The sequence below is a fragment of the Homo sapiens genome, chromosome 3, assembly GCF_000001405.40.
Source record: "Homo sapiens chromosome 3, GRCh38.p14 Primary Assembly".
Taxonomy (NCBI): domain Eukaryota; kingdom Metazoa; phylum Chordata; class Mammalia; order Primates; family Hominidae; genus Homo; species Homo sapiens.
The window spans coordinates 125,445,670-125,463,847 of record NC_000003.12 but is presented as its reverse complement, the minus strand read 5'-3'; the positions used below and the strand labels follow the sequence as shown (position 1 = coordinate 125,463,847).

The window sequence follows — 18,178 nt, the reverse complement described above, 5'->3', positions numbered from 1 at the left end:
GAAAGAACTCCTGTGATTCAAAAAGACAAAAAATAGATCTTAAATATTCTCACCACAAAAATAATGCCAAGTATGTCAGGTGATGGATATGTTAATTAGCTTCATTTAATCATTTCATGATGTATACATACATCAAAACATCACATTGTACACTGTAAATACATACAGTTCTTTAATTATACTTTAAAGCTAGGAGAGAAAAAAGAAAAAATGTGTTTATCTAAATATTACTTTTCCTTAGGCCATGTTCCAAACCAACTAGCTACTTTTTTCAACTATTTTGTTTAACCCTAAGTTGTCCTGTGGTCTCTTGATTTGGCATTTCAATGTTTCCAAGAATTTAGGATTATCCCTTCAGTTGATTTATGAAAGTGTTAAATAAAATTCTGAGTACTGAGATCTAAAAATCTTTATCATTTATACTTCCCCACCCTAGGATGTTCCAGTTTCTCCCTACACTGTGTTTCCTATCTTCAGGCCACAAGTCCTCTTTGTTTTCTTCACATTAACTCTTCCAGAATCATAGACTTAGGAACTAAAGGCAGGTTTTCCTACTCTTAATAGTGATTCTCAAGACTTTTTTCCAGTCACATATAAGAAATTATTCACTCTCATAGCTGTAAGTTTGTACTTACAGAATGTATATGTTCACTGCTTACATAAATCCTGTAAGCACATTGCTTTTCAAATGACCCTTAGCATAGTTTTGTTTATTTTGTCTTACAACTTCAATAAACTTGATGAGGCAGGTCTAGAGACATAAAGTGTGTCCATGCGAAGGAACCAGAATTAATTTGAAAGAAGGATACCTGTTGTATCACACAGAAGTAGTACATACACATAGCCCCTGTCCTTATGGAATTTACAATGCTATCAGAGAAATAAAACCAACACACGAGGCCGACTCTAGGTGTACTGCCTATGAGTTAGTCCTGCTCCTCAAGGAGCAGTGCTCTTCAATAAAAGGTTTCCACCTGACACCACCGGCTCACCCTTGAATTCTTTCCTGGGCGAAGCTGATAACCCTCCTGGGCTAACCTCCAATTTTGGGGCTCACTTGTCCTGCATTATCTAGATCTGGTAATTCCTTATCTAATGTCAATCTAAAAGGAACTAAACAGTGGAATGGTGTGTGTAATTAAATGTATCTGATAAACTGCAACTTGCCATGTATTTCATACAATTTTATATTAAATTACAATACCTTGTATCAGCTATGGTTTCTTCTCTCTTTTTTTTTTTTTTTTTTTTTTTGGTGAGACAGAGTCTAACTCTGTCACCCCAGCTTGAATACAATGGCACATTCACAGCTCACTGCAGCCTTGGACCTCCTGGGCTCAGGCATTCCTCCCAAATTAGCCTCCTGAGCACCTGGGACTATAGGCATGCACTACCATGTCCAGCTAATTTTTGTATTTTTTGTAGAGACAGGGTCTTGCCATGTTGCCCAGGCTGGTCTCGAACTCCTGGGTTCTAGTGTACAATCTCCAGTTACAGCTTTTCCATCTGCCCTGGCTTTAGTACCGAGTTTTCTCTTGTCACTAGATTTGTCACAGTCAGCCTATCAATTGGCACATTGTAGATGCTCAACAAATAGATAATTCAAATAAATAAGAATCACTTTTAAAAAAACCAACACATGGGATATGACTTTGATAAAATTTAAGTTCAAATTGTTGATAAGGGAACGAAAGTAGAATGATGACTAAAGACTAAAGCAGTCTGGGAAAATTTCCTAGAGGTGTTGAGACATGTGCTTGTATGGTTTGGAGAAGCAATGTGGGAGCCATCACATTCTGTACAAATGAAGACTCATGCGCAGGAATGAAACTGGGATGACATTGAGGGAGTCTCCCAATCAAAGCAGAGGTTGCTATTAAGAATTAGTATAAAATGGCCGGGCGCTGTGGCTCACGCCTGTAATCCTAGCACTTTGGGAGGCTGAGGCGAGTGGGTCAGGAGATCGAGACCATCCTGGCTAACACGGTGAAACCCCTTCTCTACTAAAAATACAAAAAATTAACTGGGCGTGGTGACAGGCACCTGTAGTCCCAGCTACTTGGGAGGCTGAGGCAGGAGAATGGCGTGAACCCGGGAGGCAGAGCTTGCAGTGAGCCAAGATCGCGCCACTGCACTCCAGCCTGGGCGACAAAGTGAGACTCCGTCTCAAAAAAAAAAAAAAATTAGTATAAAATAAGCTTCTAAAATTTTCTCCAACCTTTATTTACTCTACTTTTTCTTTTGTAGCTATTTGGCATCATTATAATAAATAATTGCAACCAAGAACATATGTATACCAATTATACCAAACTCTTATTCTTTCTACAGATTTTGTAGCCCTTTTATGTATGTCTTTGAACAAAAGATATTACAGTCTTACAAGCTTCTTAAACTGCCTATGAAAAAGACCATTTTTTTGTTTGTTTATTTCTAAGTCATTGCTGACCAAAACATTTTGGTAAAATTCAATAAAATCATCATGGTAATTACACATTGCTGTCAGTGATTCTAAACGCTAATTCTCACTGTCTGTACTTACAACATCACTGATGGGTAGCAAATTATCTGTGGGCCACACTTAGAATTGCTGTTTTTTGTTTGTTTGTTTGTCTGTTTGTTTTTGAGACAGAGTCTTGCTGTGTCACCCAGGCTGGAGTGCACTGGTATGATCTTGGCTCACTGCAACCTCCTCCTCCCGGGTTCAAGAGATTCTCCTGCCTCAGCCTCCCAAGTAGCTGGGATTACAGGCACCCGCCCCCACTTCCGGCTAATTTTTGTATTTTTAGTAGAGACAGGGTTTCACCACGTTGGCCAGGCTGGTCTCGAACTCCTGACCTCAAGTGATCTGCCCTTCTTGGCCTCCCAAAGTGCTGGGATTACAGGTGTGAGCCACTGCGCCCAGCCTAATTGCACTTCTCTAGAACCCTAATACTTTGTATTCCAATGAAAGTAACTCTATGCAATGTGTGTTTTTTTTTTTAAAACAGGTATGCATCTTCTATTGATGATATTTTGGAAGATGAAGAACATTATGCAGATCAGTTAAAAGAGTATCTTTTTTATGCAGAAGCATTGCGGTAAGTTTAATAAAAGTTCCAGGTGCAGCCACAGGGTTGTTCACCACTCTCCTCATATGCCACTGTAAAGTACAGATAGTAGAGTGTTTTTTAAATGAATGCATTCCCTCAGATAATGAATGAGGTCTCATTGTATTTCTCTGTGTTGCAGAGTGCTAGGCATAAACATGTAAGATGAGGCCTGCCCTCGAAGCATCATTTTGATAAAACCTGCCAGCCTCAGGCATCAAGTGTGCCTGTATGTTGTTGTTTCCACTTTTTCCAGTTTGAAGATTGGAAGCAAAATACAGATTCAGTGTGTGTAACAGTATCTGTTACTATGTTGTATATTGCTATTTTTATTCTGTGTGTCTTATCAGTAGCTTGTACAACGTCCTTATGTAACAAGGACTTTCTTATCTGTTCTTATGTTATCTTTTACAGAGCCAAAGGGAATTCTCTTTTAGATAGTCCTACGTGACTAGGAAAAAGTTAATATATTTTTTTCTGATCAGTTTAGAAAAAGGAATTATTTTCCCAGAATAGGTGGCTTTTGGTCAGTTGTCCTGTCACTTTTTTTTTTTTTTTTTTTTGAGACAGACTAGAGTTTGGCTGTGTCACCCAGGCTGGAGTGCAGTGGCGTGATCTCGGCTCACTGCAACCTCCACGTCCCGGGTTCAAACTATTCTCCTGCCTCAGCCTCCTGAGTAGCTGGGATTACAGGCGCCCGCCAACACACCCAGCTAATTTTTGTATTTTTAGTAGAGACAGGGTTTCACCGTTGTTGGCCAGGCTGGTCTCAAACTCCTGACCTCGGGTAATCCACCCGCCTCGGCCTCTCAAAGTGCTGGGATTACAGGCATGAGCCAACACTGTCCTGTCGCTTTTAAAAGCAGTATAAGAATTCTGTTAGGAAAACAAGAGCACTATTCCCTTACCTCTGTGGTGATTGGTGTGAAATCATCTGCACATTGTTAGCTCGTTTTCCTTCTAGGGCTTTGAGTAGTAGGAAGTCTCACCAATGTATTTTCAAGTCACCAAGCAAAAGAAAGTTGGCTAGGTGAGGTGGCTCCTGCCTGAATCCCAGCACTTTGGGAGCCCAAGGCGGATGGATCACCTGAGGCCAGGAGTTCGAGACCAGCCTAGCCAACATGGTGAAACCCCGTCTCTACTAAAATTACAAAAAAGTTAGCCAGGCATAGTGGTGGGTGCCTGTAATCCCAGCTGCTGGAGAGGCTGAGGCAGAATAACTGCTTGAACAGGGGAGGTGGAGGTTGCAGTGAGCCGAGATCGCACCATTACACTCCAGCCTGGGTGACAGAGTGAGATTCTGTCTCAAAAAAGAAAGTTGCTGAGTACAGTGGAATTCTCTGCAGCTCTTAAAAATTATAAAAGGGATTAATGTATGTTGACATGGAAAGATGGCCAGGGTGTATAGCCATTTGAGAAAAGATGTAGGAACCATTTGGGGTGCATGGATATGGTATTTGTCAATGCCTAGCTAAATTCTGAAAGATTATATACTATCTGGTAACACCGATTATATCTGGATAGTGGGATTGGAGGAAAGAGAGTGTTCTTGAACTTTCTTGTTGTATTTTGTTTTTTTTATTTTTTTGAGTTGGAGTTTCACTCTGTTGCCCAGACTGGAGTACAGTGGCACAATCTCTGCTCACTGCCACCTCTGCCTCCTGGGTACAAGTGATTCTCCTGCCTCAGCCTCCCAAGCAGCTGGGATTACAGGCATGCACCACCATGCCCGGCTAATTTTTGTATTTTTAGTAGAGATGGGGTTTTACCATGTTGGTCAGGCTGGTCTTGAACTCCTGACCTCAGGTGATCTGCCCACCTCGACCTCCCAAAGTGCTGGGATTACTGGCATGAGCCACCATGCCCAGCCTCTTTTTTTTACTTTGTGCATTGCTGTATTAGAATCTTTTCTTTTCTTTTTTTTTTTTTTTTTTTTTTTTTTTTTTTGAGACGGAGTCTCGCTCTTTCACCCAGGCTGGAGTGCAGTGGCGTGATCTCGGCTCACTGCAGGCTCCGCCCCCCGGGATTCACGCCATTCTCCTGCTTCAGCCTCCCGCGTAGCTGGGAGTACAGGCGCCTGCCACCTCTCCCGGCTTTTTTTGTATTTTTAGTAGAGACGGGGTTTCACCGTGTTAGCCAGGATGGTCTCAATCTCCTGACCTCGTGATCCACCCGCCTCGGCCTCCCAAAGTGCTGGGATTACAGGCATGAGCCACCGCGCCCATCCGAATCTTTTCTTTTTACAGTGAACATGGATTACTTTTATGATCATAAAAACTAATAAACATTTCTAGGCCAGGCGACATGGCTCATGCATATAATCCTAGCACTTTGGGAAACTGAGGTGGATGGATTGCTTGAGCCCATGAGTTTGAGACCAGCCTGGGCAACATGGGCGAGACCCCATCTCTACAAAGCACAAATTAGTTGGATATGGTGGCACATGCCTTAGTCCCAGCTACTTAGGAGGCTGAGGTGGGAGGATTGCCTGAGCCCAGGAGGCAGAGGTTGCATTTAGCCGAGATTGCACCATTGCCCTCCAGCCTGGGTGACAGAGTGAGACCTTGTCTCCAAAAAAAAAAAAAAAAAAATACCTAATAGACATTTCTAAATCACAAAGAAGAAAACTTTGAGGTATTATCTTTTCTAAGAATACTCAGTTGCTATGTGAGATTACAGCATTAGTTCTTACATTATGTAAGAACTAATTATGTATGTAGTTCATTATGTATGTAATTATGTATACATATGTATACATTATGTATGTAGTTCTCACATACATTAAAAAATGTTTTATGTATGTGATAATGGCATGTTTATTGAAAGAAATGTTCCAAGTATATGGAAAACAACTTTTTTTGTGTTAAGAATATATGACGTTTTTGGCCGGGTACAGGTGGCTCATGCCTGTAATCCCAGTACTTTGGGAGGCCGAAGTGGGTGGGTCACCTCAGGTCAGCAGTTTGAGACCAGCCTGGCCAATATGGAGAATTCCCATCTCTACTAAAAATACAAAATTAGCTGGGTGTGGTGGCGCATGCCTGTAATCCCATCTACTAGGGAAGCTGAGGCAGGAGAATCATTTGAACCCGGGAGGCGGAGGTTGCAGTGAGCCGAGATCGCGCCATTGCACTCCAGCCTGGGCAACAAGAGCAAAACTCTGTCTCAAAAAAAAAAAAAAAAAAAAAAGAATATATGAAGTTTTTATGGTTAGGTTCTGCTAGATTCCATTAGATTCCATTTTTAATGTTGGGCTACTACATTTTAAACTTGAAAATTCTGGGCACACACATTCTGCCCTAGCGAGACATTGTGAATGGTTCTCCTCTACCCTTGAAAAAAATGTTTGACATGTTAAAGGAAAAGTTAAATGGCAGCACATTTTTTCATCTGTAGGGCTGTGTGCAGGAAACATGAACTTATGCAGTATGACTTGGAGATGGCTGCTCAGGACTTAGCATCCAAGAAGCAGCAGTGTGAGGAACTGGTAACTGGGGTGAGTATTTTCCTTTTGGCCTCTGATGATACTGTAGCAACACGGAATGTTCCTCACAAGCACTCACTCTGAGTGAGTAACTCACTCCTGTAGAATCAGTTCCAGTTACAATACTCAGGACGGCTGAACCTTTTACAGGGGAATAATTTGTGAGTAACTTTATAATTCTTTTATTATTATCTTGATACAAAATGATGTAAGCCATTAAAACCATGTACTGTATAGAATTATAAGAAATTTTGCCAACATTTCTCTGGTGTAATCAGTATCATCCGGTTTCGTTTTAAAAAAAAAAAAAATTATTGGGCTGGGCACGGTGGCTCACACCTGTAATCCCAGCACTTTGGGAGGCCAAGGCCAGTGGATCACCTGAGGTCAGGAGTTCGAGATTAGCCTGGCCAACATGGTGAAACCCGATCTCTACTAGAAATACAAAAATTAGCCAGGTGTGGTGCCTCACGCCTGTAGTCCCAGCTACTCGGGAAGGTGAGGCAGAAGAATTGCTTGAACCAGGGAATCGGAGGTTGCAGTGACCCGAGGTCACGCCACTGCACTCCAGCCTGGGTGACAGAGCAAGACTCCATCTCAAAAAAATTGTTTTTATTAATTTTTATTTTTTGAGACAAGGTCTGGTTCTGTTTCCCAGGCTGGAGTGCAGTGGTATGATCAGGGCTCATGGAAGCCTCAAACTCCTGGGATCAAGTGGTCTTCCTGCCTCAGCCTCTTGAGTAGTTGGGACCACAGGCATGTGCCCCCATGCCTGGCTAATTTTGTTTATAGTCTCATCATGTTGACCAGGGTGGTCTCAAACTCCTGGACTCAAGTGATCCTCCCACCTCCGCCTCCCAAAGTGCTAGGATTACAGGGGTAAGCCACCATGCCTAGTCTATCATCTGGTTTCTAAGTCCAAGTGAAAAAACATGCAGTGACCTTTATCAGGTTTAACTTTGCAAGGTACTTTGCAGAAATTTTAGTTGACTTTGAAAAGCCTTACCCACTTAGAACCAGTGCATCTCGCCTAACAGGGAGCTTTTGATGTACTTTATTCTTTAATGCTTACAGTGAGTACTTGTGAGGAAAATTCTGTACCTGATTGCATTAGTCTTGGATCATTTTTATAATCAGCTTTCTACTCCAGTTATTTCATTGCAATAAATCAGCCATCATGGTGAGCAACACACATTCTGAAAGTAGTAAACCAGCAGCAATGTCTCTACTTAGTTAATAAGCACTGTAGTTTTTGTTTGTTTGTTTGTTTGTTTTTAGACCGAGTTTCGCTCTGTTGCCCAGGTTAGAGTGTGGCTCACTGCAAGCTCCACCTCCTGGGTTCACACCATTCTCCTGCCTCAGCCTCCTGAATAGCTGGGACTACAGGCGCCTGCCACCACGCCCGACCAATTTTTTTTTTGCACTTTTAGTACAGACGGGGTTTCACCATGTTAGCCAAGATGGTCTGAATCTCCTGACCTCGTGATCCGCCCGCCTCGGCCACCCAAAGTGCTGGGATTATAGGCATGAGCCAGCGCGCCTGGCCAAGCACTATAGTTTTAAAAGTGCTTTTCACAGAGATTACCCACTGGCTACATCTGTGAAAAGTCACAGATATATGTGGGGAAAGACTTGTGACCAGGACACATGTATAAACTAGGCCCTTGGTTTATTTTTAAAACTCAGTGGGAGAAGTTCCCAGGCCATTTTCAGGGAGCTTGGTTCTCTATCCTACATGTCAAGGGAAAAGTGTTTTCTTCAGTAAACTCCAGAGAGTGAGGAAATGTTAAAGCAGTGAAGCTTGGGGTTGCCTTCCCATGCTTGGATTTAGGTATCCTGTTTTATTAATAGATGCCCAAGTTTGAGCGTTGAGTTATGCAGATTTTAAATATGCTTCTTTAGTTTGGTTTATTTCCATAGTTGCCTAGTGAATTTATCGACTTTTTTTATAACATAAAGTAATTTTTAAAATATCATTCATACAGAGTAAGAAATAACGTCTAATATTTCACGTGGAAGTTTTCCATTTGATTATGAAATTCAAGCCGGGTATGGTAGCTTACAATGGCAATCCCGACACCTTTAGCAGCAGAGGCGTAAACCCAGAATTGCTTGAGCCCAGGAATTTGAGACCAGTGTGGATTAATATAGCTAGACCCTGTCTTTACCAAAAATTTAAAAATTAGCTGGGTGTGGTGGCATGCACCTGTGGTCCCAGCCACTTGGGAGGCAGAGGTGGGAGGATCACTTGAGCCCAGGAGGTTGAGGCTGCAGTGAGCCATGATTGTGCCATTACATTCTAGCCTGGGCAACAGAGCAAGACCCCATTTCAAAAAAAAAAAGAAATTCAGTTAGAAGTGTCTTCTTTTTGACTACTCCATATTATTTCAGTGTTAGAAATTCTATTAGGATTCTTGGCTATGACTCTGTAAAAATAAATAAAAACTCATATAAGAGATCCCTGGTTGTGAAGCTTATGGTGGTTTTGTCTGACTTAGGGGAAATATGGCAAATGTTTTCTATTTCCTTTGTGTGTGTAGTGAAATATATATAACATAAAATGTACCATCTTGTCCATTTTTAAGTATATAGTTCAGTAGTGCAGTCATCCCTCAGTATCTTCAGTGAGATTGGTTTAAGGATCCCTGGGATACCAAAATCCTCAGATGCTTAAGTCCCTTCTATAAAATGGTGTAGTATTTGCATGTAACCTGTGCATATCCTTTTGTATACTTTAAATCAGCAGTCGCCAACCTTTTTGGCACTAGGGACCTGTTTTGTGGAAGACAGTTTTTCCATGGACCAGGGCAGGGGGTGCTGAGGATGATTTCGGGATGAAACTGTTTCATTTCAGATCATCTCAGGCATTAGATTTTCACAAGGAACACACAACCTGGATCCCTCACATGCGCAGTTCACAATAGGGTTCGTGCTCCTAAGAGAATCTAATGCCTCTGCTGCTGATCTGACAGGAGGCAGAGCTCAGGTGGTCGCTTGCCTCCTGCTATGCAGCCTGGTTCCAAACAGGCCATGGACTGGTATCACTCCGTGGCTCTGGGGTTGGGGACCCCCTGCTTTAAATTATCTCTAGATTATTAATACCTAATACAGTGTAAACACTGGTGTCTCATATAAGTGGAATCATACAGTATTTGTCTTTTTGTATCTGTCTTATTTCACTTAGCATAATGTCCTGCAGGTTTATCCATGTTGTAGCATATATCAGATTTGATTCCTTTTAAAGGCTGAATAATGTTCCATTGTATGTGTATGTGTATGCCGCATTTTGTTTATCCATTCATCTGTTTCTGTTTCCTTTTAGACTGTGAGAACATTCTCTTTGAAGGGAATGACTACCAAGCTCTTTGGTCAAGAAACTCCAGAGCAGAGAGAAGCCAGAATAAAGGTGCTAGAAGAACAAATAAATGAAGGAGAACAACAGCTAAAGTCTAAAAATCTGGAAGGCAGGTAAAGATGCTGCGATGTTTAAGTAAGCTAGGCTTGTAGACTATATGGTAGATTATTTTATTTATTTATTTATTTATTTTGGTAACAATTCCCAGCTTCATTGGCATCCCTGAATACAGCCTATTCCTTTAAAATGCATTCCTAAGAAATTTGAGTTATCACGCTGGGTGTGGTGGCTCACGCCTGTAATCCTGACACTTTAGGAGGCTGAGGTGGGAGGATTGCTTGAGCCTGGGAGTTTGAGACCAGCCTGGGCAACGTAGGAAGACCCTGTCTCTACAGAAATAAATAAATAAATAAATAAATAAATAAAAATAAAAGAAAGTTGAATTATCAAAAATAATGTTATAGAAACAGTTGTTTCAATGTGGGGGAAAGAGAAATAAAAGTTTCAACTTCATAATATTATTTTCCTGCACTATTCCTGATTTCTACCCTTTGTACTTTCCCTCCACCATTTCTTCTCCCCTCCCCTCCTTCAGTACCCAGCTGAAGTGTTACTTCATTGTGAAGCCTTCTCAGGCTATCACGGCATTTAATTCATGCCAGTATGGTATGGCAGTTTTGTATTAGATGATTGATTGTTCTGTGTGACTATCCCTGGCTAAATTTAAGCCCTTCAAAGTCAGTGATTGTATCTTTTCCACATTCACATCCCAGTGCCTTACATAGGGCTTAGCATGTAATTGTTACATAAGTATTTCTAGAAATTCAGTTCTCAGAGACCCACTATCACTGTTTGACTCATTTTTCTTATTTTTGTTTTCATCTGACAGTCAGTGAATAGACCAAGGCAGACCAAGAGTGTATTTTGGGTTTTGAGGTGGTTTTGTTCATTTTTAGAACTACTAGCACCAAATATGGCAAAGTAATAGATAGAATTAAAAAAGACAGGCCGGGCGCGGTAGCTCATGCCTGTAATCCCAGCACTTTGGGAGGCTGAGGTGGGTGGATCATGAGGTCAGGAGTTTGAGACCATCCTGGCTAACATGCTGAAACCCTGTCTCTACTAAAAACCAAAAAAATTAGCCGAGCGCGGTGGCAGGCGCCTACAGTCCCAGCTACTCGGGAGGCTGAGGCAGGAGAATGGTGTGAACCTGGGAGGTGGAGCTTGCAGTGAGCGGAGATCACGCCACTGCACTCTAGCCTGGGCGACAGAGTGAAACTCTGTCTCCAAAAACAAATACCTCTCGGGATTTTAATTTTTATTATTATTTTTCATTTTTTTGAGACGGAGTCTCACCCTGCTGCCCAGGCCGGAGTGCAGTGGTGCCATTGTTGCTCGCTGCCACCTCAAAGTCCAGGGCTCAAGTGATCCTCCCATCTCAGCCTCCCGAATCACTGGGACTACCGGCTACCAAGCCTGGCTAAAAAAGTTTTTAAACTTTGGTTGTGATTTAAAACAAGTACATGCAGCTGGCCGTGGTGGCTCACACCTGTAATCCTAGCACTTTGGGAGGCCTAGGAGAGTGGATTGCCTGAGGTCGGAAGTTCAAGACCAGCCTGGCCAACATGGTGAAACCTTGTCTCTACTAAAAATACAAAAAATTAGCCGAGTGCAGTGGCGTGTGCCTGTAATCCCAGCTACTCTGGAGACTGAGGCAAGAACCCTGGATGTGGAGGTTGTGGTGAGCCAAGATCACGCCTCTGCACTCCAGCCTGGGCTACAGAGCGAGACTTGGTCTCAAAAAAAAAAAAATGCTAAACGTGATTCATAATCCATCTTGTCAAAAGAGTGTATATTTTCCAGTGACCCCTGGAAGGCACTTACTTCATTGTGACTGACACCTGTTAGGTTTGTGAGCTGGCTTAAGGAGTCATCTATGTGTATTTTATAGGAATAATTTAAAGGTAGAATCCTTGTGGCAAAAACTTAGATTATTAGGCCAGGTGCAGCGGCTCACGCTGTAATCCCAGCAGTTTGGGAGGCTGAGGTGGGCAGATCACCTGAGCTCAGGTGTTCAAGCCCAGCCTGGCCAACATGGTGAAACCCTGTCTCTACTAAAAATACAAAAATTAGTTGGGCGTAGTGGCGTGTGCCTGTAATCCCAGCTACTCAGGAGGCTAAGGCAGGAGAATTGCTCAAACCCGGAATGCAGAGGCTGCAGTGAGCCAAGATCACGCCACTACACTCCAGCCTGGGCAACAGAGTGAGACTCTGTCTCAAAAAAAAAAGAAAAAGTAGATTAAAAGGTACAAGAATATATGACTGTCTGTTTGCTTTTTCCCTAACTATAATTTTTAGGAAAATAAAAAAACTGTCTTATACAAGCAATAACTCTTCCTTCTACATAGGCAATTAAAAACCAACGCCAATGAGAACTGGTTAACTTTTTAGTACACAGTTTATTTAACTTAAATAATAATAATGGCTATACCTTTTATTTCAGAGAATTTGTGAAAAACGCATGGGCTGATATTGAACGCTTCAAAGAACAAAAGAACCGAGACTTAAAGGAGGCCCTCATAAGCTATGCAGTCATGCAGATCAGTATGTGCAAAAAGGTAGGGTTTTTCCTGTTTCAGTGAAGATATATGTATATTCAGAAGTGCTTATACATGTATTTAAATTACCTGACCAAAAAATTTTTCATTTTTATTCTTCTCTTGTAGAATGTTTACCAATTTCTCTATTTTAATTTTGTAGGATTTCTGTTTTATTTTGTTTTGGTTTTTTTATTTTAAAATTTTAAATATTTAAAAAATAGATATGGGGGGGTCTCGCTATGTTGCCCAGGCTGGTCTCGAACTCCTGGCCTCATATAGTCCTCCTGCCTCGGCCTCCCAAAGTGCTGCAATTACAGGTGCGAGCCACCATGTCCAGCCTCTACTGGTGTTACAACCAGTATGCCCATTACTGAGTCTCCACTCATCTAAAGTCCAAATTTGTATCTCCATTTATAACTTGTATTTGAGAATATATACCAAGATTATTTAGATCATATGGTACTCTTGGACCAGACAGTAAAATACCATTCCAGGTATATGCTTTGATTGGAAAATAGCTTGAACATTATTTCGTGAAGACCTGGTTATGATATGCTTCCTCATAAAGTAAATCATTTGTGTTGCTGATATCCATAGTGAAAGATACAAACATTGAAGCTTATTCTAGTTAAAATAAATGTTTGACAATGATGGAAGACTTTCTAAAACGTTGGTTTAAGAACAAAATAGGAAACATTCCTTAACCTCTTTTTTATAACCTAAGATCTGCCAGTGTGACTACCAGTACCAGTGCTTTGATTTGTATCACCTGTCATAATTTATCAAGCACTTTTACATGCATTATCTCAGTAAATTACATGGTAAGATGAATTCTCACATTTATAGGGCAAAATCACACTCATATAAATATATATACAATTCTTATGCTTTAGTTTGTCCCAAAATTTTATTTTTTGGCTGTGGGCCATCACTGAGAGAACAAAGATATTTTGAGGCATAAACACCATACGCACTCACTGGTTAAGTGGGCTCCATTTGGTTTGGACAAATTCATATTTATGCTCAGTGAATTATAAGTTACTGTATACCGTGGATCTTTGGAGTCACTTAAAACAAGTTTAGATCGTGACTGTTGAGTCTGCAGGTGCTAAAGGTTGAGTATGTTGTAGTTTGGTAGCATCTCTATCTTTTTTTTGCCTTCATTCTGTCACCTCTTCTTGCCTGCAGCTAGGTGCTAGATATTTACAATCCATTGTCTTTTTCTTTTTTCTTCTTTTTTTGTTGAAATGGGGTCTTACTGTGTCACCCAGGCTGATCTTAAACTCCTGGGCTCAAGCAGTCCTCCCGCCCTGGCCTCCCAAATTGCTGGGATTATAGGCATGAGCCACCACACCCAGTAGTACAGTCCTTTTTCCAATCTAACTTTTTAACCTCAAGAAATCTGAAAGACCAGATAACAAAGGTTTTTAGTTTTTTTGTTTTTCCTGTAAAAGACTCATTAATAAGCTCCTTGTGATCTCTCATTCACTTCTTTCCAAAGTAAAGTGCAAGACCTTTATATAATGTCTCAAAGGACTTTCCCCCTCCGTTTTGTTTAGGCTGCAGTGGTTGAGGGTGCTAGAAATTTAATCTGTGAATATAAAAGATACTACTATAGCTGTATTTGGACATACTGTTGGATATTTTGTAGGTTTATTCACAAATCCTTAGATAACTAGTAAAACAAAAAGTTTAATAAGAGTTTATGTTCACCTTGTTTCCCAAGAATGGTACTATGCAATTTTGTCGTTTTGTTTTCTTGCCTAAGTGATATAGATTTTTATATGTGATCCTAGCTATTTGGGAGGTTGAGGCAGGAGGATCACTTGATCCCAGGAGTTCAAGACTAGGCTGGGCAACATAGTGAGACCTTCTTTCTTTCTTTCTTTCTTTTTTTTTTTTTTGAGACAGAGTCTCACCCTGTCACCCAGGCTGGAGTGCAATGGCATGATCTCAGCTCACTACAACCTCCGCCTCCCGTGTTCAAGCAATTCTACCTCATCCAGCCGAGTAGATGGGATTACAGGTGTGTGTCACCATGCCTGACTAATTTTTTTGTATCTTTAGGAGAGACGGTTTCACCATGTTGGCCAGGCTGGTCTCAAACTCCTGATCTCATGATCCGCCTGCCTCCACCTCCCAAAGTGCTGGGATTACGGGTGTGAGCCACCGCACCTGGCCCGAGACCTTCTTTCAAAAAGAAAAGAGAAGAAAAAGAAAATTGTTCAAAACCTTAATAAATGACACACTTTAATGATTAAGTATTAAAAAGTTCCTTTCTCATAAATGAGTAATTATTGGAGAATATGTATCTTATTGAAAAAATACCTTACTGAAAAAAACCCTTGCCGGGTACAGTGGCTCACTCCTGTAATCCCAGCATTTTGGGAGGCCAAGGCAGGTGGATCACGAGGTCAGGAGATCGACACCATCCTGCCTAACACACGGTGAAATCTCATCTCTACTAAAAATACAAAAAATTAGCTGGGCATGGTGGCAGGCGCCTGTAGTCCCAGCTACTTGGGAGGCTGAGGTGGTAGAATGGTGTGAACCCGGGAGGTGGAGCTTGCAGTGAGCCGAGATCGCGCCACTGCACTCCAGCCTGGGCGACAGAGCAAGACTCTGTCTCAAAAAAAAAAAAAAAAAAAAAAAAGGAAAAAACCCTTAAGTTTTACTGTTACATCTCTATAAACATGTATTTTTGCTTATGCATATTAGGCCATCTATAACTGTGCTAAGTAACTTCAGGTACTAAGAGGGATTCAGTAATTTAGTACATAATTAGTTTTTATCAAAACTTTAGTTATTAGAGTGATAATTTAATAACTCAATTTATATTTGTTAGACTAATGAAGTTTTTTGTTTCAAATATTACATTGAAAAAACCGAGCCGGGCACTGTGGCTCACACCTGTGATGCCAGCACTTTGGGAGGCAGAGGCAAGCAGGTCGCTTGAGCCCAGGAATTCCAGACCAGCCTGGGTAACATAGTGAGATTCCATTTCTACAAAAAAAAAAAAAAATACAAAAAATAAGCCAGGTGTGGTGGCGTGCACTTGTGATCCCAGCTACTTGGCAGGCTGAGGTGGGAGGATCCCTTGAGCCCTGGAGGTCAAGGCTGCAATGAGCCATGATTATACTCCAGCCTGGGTAACAGAGTGAGACCCTATCTCCAAAAAAAAAAAAAGACTGAAAACTTGTTTGATTTACAAATAGAAATTACTCGAGTATGTGATATGAAATGAATTAACTCAGTTTTCCAACAAGTTGTAGGAGTTCTTTTTCCATTTTGAAGATAAGTTCGTATTAGAGATTCTGTTTCTCTTTTCAGAAGCATTAGACATTTGCTTATATTAGCCACTTCCCAAAATAGTGTCATATTTTCTCGACTTCTTAATTATTCCAAAAAGCAAAACTTAGTGTACCACTAAGCCAAGTACTTGGGTTTTCAGATTCCTTCCAAACTCACATTTTAAAGTTTTTATTTTTATTTTTAGGGAATTCAAGTTTGGACCAATGCTAAGGAATGCTTTAGCAAGATGTAATCCTGTGAATTGAATTTCTCTTCAATCAAAGTGCCCCAAAACAGAAGCACAAGTAAATAAAAGAAATTTAAGTCACTACCTAGTATACATAAACATATACAATAAGTTAAATAAATTCAGCTTTCTTTAACTTAATTGTGGTCGTGTTAATGTAGCACAAAAAATATATTTTAATGAAGATTAAATATTATAATTTGAGGTTTTGGGGACTGGTGCTGATTCCAAAAAGTTAATTTAATAATATATACCAACAGATTGTTTGTCACGCTTCTGAACCAATGACTGAATGTCAAGATGTTCGTTAATTTCTAGATGTTTGTTTCAAGACCAGCTGTTTCAGATCTATTAATGTAGGGAATTTTTCCCTAAGATTGAATTCCTATATTTACTTGGTAAGATCCACTAATCTGTTATAGGGAGTTGTTTTCTCTTGCCTTATAGTTGAGCTATTTGGTTTGACAAAGCTCAGCAGAAACTTGATGTGAAAAATCTACGATTTTCTTCTACATTCATTGATGCCCCTTGTAATGTTTGCATACACTAGAAAATGCCTTCAATTTGTGTTTTACCAGAATTTTGATACTGGTCAGAAATTTTATACTGCCAACAAAGAAGACTCAACTTCTCAGATCTATAATGGGATACATTGTCATCCTCTAGCAACTCCTATATAGAAAGTTTTAACTGAATATGTTACATATAAGAATTAAATTCTTCTCAAATAATTCTTAACCTCAGTAATGAGCCTAAATTTACTCTGCTTGGCTCTCTACACATGGCATTTCAGGGTATAAGATGTAGCATTTCAATGTGTAAGATATATGTACTAAACATATGTGTTGCTATCTTCATCATTAACATCCTTCTTTTCTATTGCTTGGCTGTAATTTTTGTAAAGATAAATTATATTGTTTTTTTGTATGTGTGTTTGTAGTATATGTTCAGAAGGCAAGCATCTTCATTTTGCTAGCTTTGCAGAATCTTAAAATGTGTACTCGTTATTTCTAATGATGTAAAAAAAAATCCCTAGTCCTGTTTAGCATTTGACTTTTTTATATGTTTTAAATGTTGCTGGATTTTTGTGCTGTTTGCCAAACTTATACAATAAATAAATGAAATATTGTGCTGATTTTCAGATGATTTTTGTTAATTTAACAAAGTGATCCATACATATTAATATCTGATGCTCTGTAAGAAAATGATATCTGTCATACTATGTTTTAAAGTGATTAATGCCACATGTTCTCACTTATCAGTGAGAGCTAAACATTGAGTACACATGAACGCAAAGATGGGAACAATAGACACCAGGGCCTCCTTGAAGGGGCAGATTCGGAGGAAGGCGAGGGTCGAAAAACTAGCTATTGGTTACTATGCTCACTCCCTGGGTGATAAAATCATTTGTACACGAATCCCCAGCAACACACAATTTACCCATGTAGCAAACCTACACAGGTATCCCCTGAACCTAAAACAAAAGTTGAGGAAAGAAAAAAAAATAAAGTTATTAATGGTATAAATTTGTCATCTACCAAAATATTGGTTTTTAAAAATATAAGATGCTGAAATAAGACATGATTTTTAAAATTTTACTTTTTTTTTTTTTTTTTTTTACTGTCAGATGGGTAATGGTTGAAGTTGTAACAAGGTTTGAGGGAGGCACATCTCACACGTGGGTGTGAATACCCAATCATCATGCTTATGAACCACAAAAGGATCATGAGTTTTTTTTTTGTTTTTGTTTGTTTTACTTTAAAAAAAAAAAAAGAGACAGGGTCTGATGTTGCCCAGGCTGGTCTGAACTTCTGAGCTCAAGGAATCCTCCCGCTTCAGCCTCTCAAAGTGCTGGGATTACAGGCGTGAGCCACCCTGACCCGGCCTGTTTTGTTTTGAGACAGGGTCTCTGTCGCCCAGGCTGGAGTATGGTGGCACAATTATGGCTCACTGCAGCCTCAACCTCTGGGGGCTCAAGTGATCCTCCCACCTTAGCCTCCCAAGTAGTTGGGACTACATAGGTACACCACCATGCCTGGCTAATTTTTTTATTTTATTCTTGTAAAGATGAAGTCTCACTGTGTTGCCCAGGCTGGTCTCAAACTCCTGGGCTCA

General features: G+C 40.4%; 1 protein-coding gene and 1 non-coding gene across 4 annotated transcripts in view; one reads left to right on the top strand and one right to left on the bottom strand.

The window, feature by feature from the left end:
* The window catches only part of SNX4 (sorting nexin 4), a 73,553-nt gene extending 56,355 nt beyond the window's left edge, over positions 1 to 17,198 (top strand). For all 3 annotated transcript variants that reach the window (NR_073435.2, NM_003794.4, XM_017007414.3), the window contains 5 exons: positions 2,988 to 3,077; positions 6,483 to 6,582; positions 9,893 to 10,038; positions 12,429 to 12,543; positions 16,022 to 17,198. Coding sequence is in view for 2 of the 3 variants with exons in the window: in NM_003794.4 (NP_003785.1) it covers positions 2,988 to 3,077; positions 6,483 to 6,582; positions 9,893 to 10,038; positions 12,429 to 12,543; positions 16,022 to 16,069 (499 nt within the window). In the remaining variant the exon portion in view is untranslated. The remainder of the gene's footprint in view (positions 1 to 2,987; positions 3,078 to 6,482; positions 6,583 to 9,892; positions 10,039 to 12,428; positions 12,544 to 16,021) is intronic.
* Positions 17,199 to 17,684: 486 nt separating this feature from the next.
* Positions 17,685 to 17,787, bottom strand: LOC124906351 (small nucleolar RNA U13). Its single transcript, XR_007096318.1, has one exon. It is a non-coding gene; the product is annotated as a small nucleolar RNA U13 (small nucleolar RNA).
* Positions 17,788 to 18,178: the final 391 nt, after the last annotated feature.